Raw genomic sequence first — 9921 nt, 5'->3', positions numbered from 1 at the left:
CCCCAATCAAGACTGGGCTCAAACCCCCAAAGACCCCAAGGCACAGTTAAAAACAAGAAAGCAAATTTGAAGCAAGTCTGGCCTCCAGCTCAGAGTCTTTTCACCTTACCCACCTCAGGATTTCCCAATCTGCCTCGAAGCTTCACCTTCTCCTGGACTCGGATACTCCACACTCACATGGAGGGGGTTTGCTCACAGTTCCCTAAATACCCACGCATCCACCCACCCTGTTTCACACTTCGTGGCTTTCCTCATATTTTTTTCTCCTCTGCAAACATTTCCTTTCCCTTCCAAGTTTCTCTGCCTGATGAACTCACACCCACTTTTCAAGGCCTTTCTTAAATGTTACCTGAAAGTAAACAATTTCTCACCCCAACCAACCAAAACTGTCTCTTGGACATCTCTCGGACCCTCTTCACTAGGGGTCCTTAACCTCAGCTGCACATTGGAGTCACCTGAAAAGCCTTTCTAAAATCCCAATCCCAGGCTGTACCCCAGACCAATGAAATCAGAACCTCTGGGAGAAGGACCCTGGTACTGGTGTTTTTAAAGCTCCCCAGGTGATTCCAACCTGCAGTCAAGGTCGATAACCACTGCTTTGTGCCATTTATCACTTTCTTCCTTGTAGTCGTAATTACACTGCATTTGTCTTATTCCCAGGACTAAGTTTGCAACTCCTCGAGGGCACAGACCATCTTATCACATCTGCTTATGCCCTGCAGTTCTTAGTGAATCAGAGCTGCAACAAATACTGTTGAATCGAATTTAGGAACTTAAAATTAACCAAAAACTTCCTTTTTAGATTTTGCAAATAATTTTAGAAGAGGTGTCATATTAGTGGAGGACTAACTTGAATTTTTTAATGTGGTTCTGTTCGCCATTACCAAAAATATTCTGATATGACTTTGAAATCAGAATAGCTCTCATTAAAGACCAACAAGCTGCAAATATGTGGCCTTTGCTTTTATACTTTTGCTTTTGAACTCTTCACAAAGAAGTCTTCTGTGTTTCTTTGAGAACCAACTGCAAAATGTGACAGTGCATGTGCTCATCTCTAACTGAAATAAACAAAAGCAGTCAGTAACATGTACAGTTATCTGCCTGCCTAGCTCTGGTACGGAAGGTACCACAAGCAAAACTGCAACGTGAACTTAACACAGAGCATCTGACCTCTTTTCAGGAACTGCAGAAAATGAAATGAAAAATGAGACAAGGAAGACTTGCCAGCCTTTCATATGGCTACAGTTGCTAAGGAAACTGCTTTCTTAGCTTCAACCTGTCCGGTATAGCCCATTTCATGCATTCTTCTGGGTTTTTGAAAATAAGGATATCAAAGAGGGAAAAAATGATAGAGAATAAAAGTGAGGGTTGTCCTGGTCGAAACAGAGCCTTGCACTGTTTCTCTCTGCTATGGTGTTGCTGTTTCCCAGGCACCTGGAATATTTGCCACCTGGCAAAACCCTTCTGGAACTAAAATCATAGAATTAGCCAATAGGGTAAACAAAACAATAGGAAGCCCTATTTGACATGCAGCAGTAGCTAAAAAACTGCTTTCTCACCCCAACTGGGCTCTCTTTCCTGCTGGGAAAGTAGGAGGCAGCTCTTAACACAGCAGGAAAAGTGCCTCAGCTCTCTCCTGCCCCACATCTCAGGAGAAAGTGCTTCAAGTATCTCAGCACCATGAATACGACCTGGAGTTCCACCCGTGAATCCAAATTGCACGTGTGAGAAGGGGCAGGCTGGAAACTCCAGCCTTCAAGTCAAATGAGGGTAATAGGCTGGTCATAGGAAACAGGGGAATCAAAGGTAAGGAGGGCCAGCTTACAATAATTTATTTTTTATTTTCATTTTTTTTAGAGACAAAGGGTCTCACTCTGTTGCCCAGGCTGGAATGCAGTGGTGCAATCACAGCTCACTGGAACCTCAAACTCCTGGGGTAAAGCGATCCTCCAGCTTTAACCTCCCAAGTAGCTGGGAGTACGGGCACGTGCCATGATGCCTGGCTAATTTTCTTTACTTTTTTTTGTGGAGACAGGGTCTCGCTATGCTGCTTAGGCTGGCCTTGAACTCCTGGGTGCAAGCGATCCTCCCAGTTTGACCTCCCAAAGTGCTCAGATTACAGACATGAGCCACCATGCGTGGTCCCAATTTACCTAATTCTAGAACCTCACAGAGGATGTGGAAACAGAAGAAAACACACAACACCAAATTACGTGTTAGGAAGATATCACTCCATCGATAGCCAATTAAATAAGCAAGTATTTCTCAACATCTACTGAGGAGGCATTATGTTTGGGTGATTAACAGAGATTCATTTTGGAAAGTAACTTGGCAGTAAATATTACTGTACTTCATATTCAAAAATAATGCCACTTTCCTTCTTCCCCCATTTTCTATCAAAACTTGTTTTCTGGGCTTTCAGTGGGAATAATCTGTTTCCTTCTCCAATTCCAGTTAAATGTAGCATAAATAAAGGTTACCTATACAAGAAACTGTAGCACTGTTTGAATTGCAGAAGGGAAAGTTGGGTAGTTGAGAGGCGAGCAAAAAGCTTTTCACTTTTAACCATTTGCCCCTTTGGAATGTTGAACTATGTAAATGTTTTTAAATAAATAAATAGCACTTTAAAATCAAATAAAGTGCTGTTTACTTAATTAAGAGCTGAAATGTTCAAACTAAACTAGAACTTTTTTAAATTTTACATGTCTTTAAAGAACATGTAAAATTAAATGCTGCTTGCTTAATTAAAGGCTAAGATGGCCAAACTGAACTATAGATTTTTAGGATATCTTTGAGGAAATTTATGTTGATTTTTCTCAAATTTATAAGGTTTTCAAAGAACCCAGATAATATATTGAATGTGTAGTCATCTAGTTACTAATCCTTTGAAAGGCAATTATTAAAATATTTTCTTAGATACTATTTAGCATATATCTACCCTCCTACATTTTTAAAATGTGGAATGCTACTGTATTATGCAACATAGCTTAAGAAGTTCTATTCAGACTCCTGGGATATTACAAATCAGTCAGAAATAATGTCCTAAGATCTAAAGATTTTTTTATTTTCTCAGTCCTTAAGTCAAAAATCATTTATCCTTGTGGCTTCAAAAGGAAGCCATGTGTTCATTACAAGGGAAGTGGACTCACTGCAGTCAGAAACTATGAACTGGTTGGTCTTATCGAAAGTATATAACTCTGGCCAGGTAATCCAAGATCTTCCACCTCCTCAGCTAAGAAACAGGAAGCACGATGTGATTATGGTAATGTGAAAACGCATATTAATGACCAGTAGGATTCTCCCAGGGCGCGAAATCCATCCAAACATGGATTACATTTGCGTTTTCTTGATTTTTCAGGTGAATGAAAAGATGCCAGTGTGTTCTCTCAGATGTATATCTCCAGACGGGGAAGTTTCCTGTGGATGTCACAGCCAGAGGCTAGTATATTCTGCTAAGCCCCAAGATTACTGTGTCGGTCACCTAGGACCGCCAGAGCATTCTTAACACTTCTGGAAACCTGCTCCGCAAAGTCAATAGGTCAAAAGGATTTCCTGTATCTCAAAAGTGTGACAGTAAATTACACAAGGAATCCACTTGAAATACAATATGAAGAGCGTACCGTAATGTGGCTTAAACTCTGATTCCTGCCACTCTTGCTGTCATCTAGGCATAGCAGGAAGGATGCATGAAGCAGGTGAGGAAGGTGCATAGTGCTTCTCCAGGGATATTGGGGTACCCAGCCCCTAGCTGCATTTCAGAACCAGGCAGGGAGCAGGTAAAAACACCCAAGCCTGGGACCTGCTACAGAACAATCAAATCAAAATCTCTAAGTACAAGGCCCTGGTGCTTCCCAGGTTGAAAATCACTGGTTTACATGAAGAGTAACTTCAAAATGTGATTAGTCAAAGGTAAAATTATTTCTGAATGCAAGAGCCATCTGAAGAAGGTACTAAGATGTTAGTTGTTGGGTTCTGGTTACAAGGTAAGTAGTGGGGTGTGTGTGTGTGTGTGTGTGTGTGTGTCTGTGTGTCTGTGTGTTTAACACCATAGTATGTTTCCTTGGTGTTCTTATTGTTCTTTGTTTGTTTTCTTTTTGTTTTGTTTTTTTACAAAATTGCCTTAGCTAATAAAATCTTGGGATAACCGAGACAGAAAGGCATACATCAAAGAAGCCAAAGATGTAGCTTCCCATTAGGGAATGCTTTTGTTGTATAGGTGCCAACTACTTGGCCCCGCCTGAAGAATGCAAACTCCCATATGAAACCCTGGCCAACCCTTCCAGAGTTGGCTGCAAGATTCTACTCCTTGGGCCATGAAGCATTCTCTGGTCCCCACAGCACCAGTTGGCAAGGACTTTGCTCTCTCAGGTCTCATGGCCAGGAGCTTTTTGGGTACTCCCAGCGAAACTTCTCCTTGAAGGCTTCCTCATTTCCAGAATGCACGCGTATATGCTCTCCACACATATGTGTTTTGGCAGGGGAAAGATCTCCTTTAGGAATTCCTTTGAGGATGCATTTAAAGTACTGACTTCAGGCAGGGCCAAAATGACCTGTGAGCAGAGGCATCTGCAGGCAGCATATGTGTTCTTTCCACCTAGCATGAAATTTGATACAGCATCTTTGGGTCTGAGAAAAAGAAGGTGGGAGGAGAGCGGAGGAATGTCTTCATTTCCTTTCCTGTCATTAAGCCCTGCCTAGCCTGGGCTTTGTCAGCTCCAGGCAGACTCCCATCTCCAATGTGAGGCCAGGCTGCTTTGATTTTGCTTCGATTGGGAGCTAGCTCAACCTTGTTATATGCCAAATACCCTCCAGGGTGTCCTACTTTTTGGGATCTTCTCCTGTGTCAGAGCTCCTGTGGCTCTGCCTTTCTGTCCTTTAGGAGAAGAGCTCCCACCCCCACCGCTACCCTTCCCAGGGAAAGGGCTCCAAGGCTGGTTTGCCTGCTATTTTAAAATGCTGTGCAAGAGCATTTTGCAATCTCAAATGAAAATTATGAAAACGTGGGTTACTATGACAAAAATTATACCAGCCAGGTTTGCAAATAAATGGGGCATGCTCTGAATTTGATTGAAAAAAAAAATGATTCAAAAACATTTGAAAATGGAGCTAGGGAAAAAAAATCTCTTTTCTCTGCCCCTGCTCAGAGTTTACTTGGTTCCTTTCCTCCCTCCCTACCCAAATTCAACTTATCCCCATTTCTAGTGATTTCTCAAGTCTGAAAAACTAGAGGAAGTGGAAGTAACTTTTTTTAGAAACCAATCATATTTCCAATCGTATCAGCTCCAGAAGGAATTAAGGTGCACTGGGATTTCACGGGTTTTGGAGTTACACAGACTTGGGTGAGAATCCCTCTTAATGTGTCACATAACAAACATGTACCTTGAGCACTTCTCTTAATCCCTTAGGGCCTCAGTTTCCTCATTAGTAAAAGAAGAATAATGCCTCAGAGGGTAGCGATGAGTACTAAATGAAATAACATGACATATTGGTGTTCACTAAACATTGTCTTTTGAAGATGCAAATTGGTTAAGAATACATTAGACTTCAAATTCCCTCTTTTGAACTTACTGGTTGGGTAACCTTGGGCAGGCAATTTAACCTCTCTAAACCCCAGTTTTTTCAAATATTAAATAGGAATTAAAAATTTAGCTCACAATTTATGACACTTTTGAATTGCTCAGAAAGTCACAATTTTAGAAAAGCATAATTTTAAACCACTTTTATAGATAATTACAACATTTTTCTTTCTTTCTTTTCTTTTTTTTTTTTTTTTTTTTTAGGCAGAGTCTCGCTGTGTCACCCAGACTAGAGTGCAGTGCCTCAATCTCGGCTCATTGCGACCTCCGTCTCCTGGGTTCAAGTGATTCTCCTGCCTCAGCCTCTCAAGCAGCTGGGATTATAGGCACCCACCACCATGCCCAGCTAGTTTTTGTATTTTTGGTAGAGATGGGGTTTCACCATGTTCTCCAGGCTGGTCTCGAACTCCTGGGCTCAAGCAATCCACCTTCCTCAGCCTCTCTAGGTGCTGGAATTACAGGTGTGAGCCACCAAGCCCAGCCTATAATTACAATATTTTTCTATTAGCTTGTATATAGCTCTGTCTCAAAATATGTGTTTTACCAGTACATGAGAAATTTACTAAAGAGCATGGTTATCTCCCCTCATATGCTAAATGTGTTTATGTTCTGTTAGCAAGTTCTTTTTATATGGAATGTTTGTTTTGAGTGTCTGAATCTAAGATAACTTTGTGCTGGACAATAAGACATGGCTACAAAATATTTCTGTTCCCAAGTCTAAATACACCATGTCACCCTACACAGGATAATCAACTGCTCTATTATTGATTAGGACCTTGAGGAGGATCTTAGTCGTAAAAAGTCAACAAGAGAGAAGTCCCTATTGTAATTAAGAATTTTTGTGGGCCAGTGGGAAGCCTGTCTTGGTCTGATAGACAGGAGCCTGGGGATGGGGGCGTGGAGAGAAGGGAGAAGTGGGCACGGTAGGAGGACTGCACTCCAGTCAGGAGACTGAGACCAGAACCCCACAGCAGGTGCAGCCTCCCTGATCAGACAACACCTGAGACCCAGTCTGACCCCATGACTTCTGTCATCAGAGACACAATAATGACAAGATATGGTCCAATTTTACCCACACATCAGCCACATCCAATTCAACAGGGAGCATGCTCCAGGGATAAGAGAATCTGGTCCTGGGAACAGAAACAGGAAACTGGCAGCCAGCTGGGGGTAATTGCTTCTTCTTTTCCTTTACTTACTTTTCTGGTGTTAAGAGTTTGCAATTTGGCTAATGAACATGGATAAATTAGATAGAATTCTGCAATATGATGGACCATGTGGGTGCAAGAATGAATTTCATAGGACTTTAGCCTTGGAATTCCACAAAGTAGGTATTTTATAATTATTTTCAGAAGATACACAGCCAACAAACATGAAAAAAATGTTCAACATGACTAATCATTGAGTAAATGCAAATTAAAACCACAATGAGATACCACCTTACTCCTGCAAGAATGGCCATAATTAAGGAGTCCAAAAACAATAGATGTTGGTGGTTGTGGTGAACGGGAGCACTTTTACACTACTAGTGGGAATGTAAATTAGTACAACTACTGTGGAAAACGGTGTGGAGATTCCTTAAAGAACTAAAAGTAGAATTACCATTTGATCCAGCAACCCCACTACTGAGTATCTACCCAAAGGAAAAGAAGTCACTATATGAAAAAGACACACGCACATGCATGTTTATAGCAGCACAGTTCACAATTGCAAAAATATGGCATCAGCCTAAGTGCCCACCAACCAACAAGTGGATAAAGAAAATGTGGTATACATACATCAAGAAATACTACTCAACCATAAAAAGGAATGAAATAATGTATTTTGCAGCAACTTGGATGGAGCTGGAGGCTATTATTCTAAGGTAAGTAACTCAGGAATGGAAAACCAAATATCATATATTCTCACTCATAAGTGGGAGCTAAGCCTATGAGGACCCAAAGGCATAAGAATGATATAATGGACTTTGGGGACTCAGCAGAGAAAGCTTGGGAGAAGGTATCAAAAAACTACATATTGGGTAGTGTGTACACTTCTTGGGTGACAGGTACACTAAAATCTCAGAAATCACCACTAAAGAACTTGTACATGTAACGAAAAAACACAGGTACCCCAAAAACTATTGAAATTGTAAAAAGAAAAAAAACAAGTAAAAAAAATTATTATTAACATTTTCAGAAATGAACTGAGCATGAAGCACTGAGTTTCCCAGTTTATGAGTCAATGACACTCAACTCATCCAACCTGCTTTCTCTCTACTGCATGCCCTTGGCCACCCATGAAGCATATGGACATATGCACAAACACACATGCCTTTAAGCAGCATCCCTCAAATCACATCAACTCAGCAATCACCTGCTTTCCCTTTCCTACAAGGCTAATATAATCTCAGGTACCTACTACCTCCACTCTCCCATGTTAAACTGCTAGACACATCTGCAGCTTCCACTCCTCTTTCCATGATATGTTTATTAAAGTAGGAACTAGCACTTGCTTATTATTCTTCCATAGGGCTAGCACTATGCGTGAAACATGGTAGGCACTTATTATAGCAAGGGAGGGAGGGAGTCAGGAAGTTAGGCTGGCAGGCAGGAAGAATTGTTACAGTTCAACTAATACTAACTTGCCCCAACTTTTGTTATTATCTTGTTTCTTTTTCTCATTTTTTGCTCTGATTCCAAGGTCCCGGGGGGAAAGAGTGATCCAAAATTAAAATCAGATACTTTACTGCTCAAAATAAATGTATTTCTAGAAGAAAGTTTACAGATATAAAAATAGATGCTATATTATCCATATGCATATGAACTATAAAAGTCAGAATTCTATTAAAATTTTACCACAAGGAAATGGTTAAGTAAATATAGTGCATTTACAACATTACAACTGCGGCACCTTTTAAAAAACTGTATTTAGAAGAATGTTTAATTGCATGGAGAAATTTCCACAAAAACCTTTAAGTAAAAAAAAGCAGATTGCACAACAAAATGTAAAATAGATCCTCTAATTTCAAAAAAAAAAAACAAAAACATATGAAAGAATAAAAGGGTATACCCGAGAATGTTAAAAATTGGTATTTCTGAATAATGAATTATAAGTGATTTTTAAATTTTATCTTTATGCCATTACAGATCTTCCCCAAATTCATGCAAAATTTATGTTAGTATTAAATATATAATCAAAAAAGGAAATTATTATAAGAAAATAAAAGCCATGTGAATACTAAATGAGGGAGAAATAATTTAAGAAAATCTCTGCATGCAAGTCAAGATTCCCAGAATGTGATGGTTAGTACCAGATGCTGTAAAAGCAGGAAAGATTTTTAATTATTGTTTTCCAGACCAAATTTCCAGAAACTACCATTGCTGTGTGAGTGCTCTCTGATTACTCTGTACAACAAACCAAGCTCTTCATTTTTCTGCTGATTTTTCAAGCAGGCTGATCATGTTCTCTGGAGAAATACACAAGACTATATACTTAAAAAGTTCTACTGAAATCTTAAATGCCACCACAGCCAATTTTGTTGTTATTATTTGCTTATTTGTTTGTTTATGAGACTTGTACAAATAAAGACCCACACACAGACAGGAAACCATAAAACAGCAACTACACTGTTTGGAAACTCAGAAAGACCTGTCTCCATGTATACCATGATAACATCTGCTTCTAATTGAAATGATTTATCAAAGTGACCATCAGCAGGAATGGGTCGGCAAGCACATAAATCTAGCACAAACACTTTAGGCTCTGAGCTTGGAAGCGTAAAGTCTGGTCTTGTTTCTGACATTAACAAGACAGCAGCTAGCTGGCTGAGCCTATGGAAATCAATTACTATCTCAATAACCCAGTCTCCTCATCTGCACAATGGAATTAATATTAGATACTGATTGCCAATTTATATCTCTCATCACAGGGATGCTTCTCTTTCATTCATTTATTCTTCCAATAACTACAGGTGGAGGGCCTTCCATGTGATGGGCATTAATCCACCAGGTCCTCTGTACCCAACCTTATTCTTTGTCCCCACAGACAGGCTGCATGAGCATTCCTGGACCCCCATTAGCCTTTGCAAAAGGCACCTCGATGCTCTCACTGCCTGTGCCTTAGTCTACTAAGGTGAAAATGAAAGATGAAGGAGGAGCACAGGTAAAAAAAAGCACCATAGGTGTCTGATGCTTGCCAGGTGATATGGTTTCGCTGTGTCCCACCAAAAATCTCATCTTAATTATAATCTCCATAATCCCCACGTGTCAAGGGAGAAACCAAGTGGCAGTAATTGAATCATAGGGGTGATTTCCTCCATGCTGTTCTATGATGGTGAATGAGTCTTCAAGAGATTTGATGGTTT

This window comes from Homo sapiens, chromosome 18 (genome assembly GCF_000001405.40).
Source record: "Homo sapiens chromosome 18, GRCh38.p14 Primary Assembly".
NCBI lineage: Eukaryota > Metazoa > Chordata > Mammalia > Primates > Hominidae > Homo > Homo sapiens.
The sequence above is the reverse complement of the archived record's forward strand: the minus strand, read 5'-3'. Positions refer to the sequence as shown.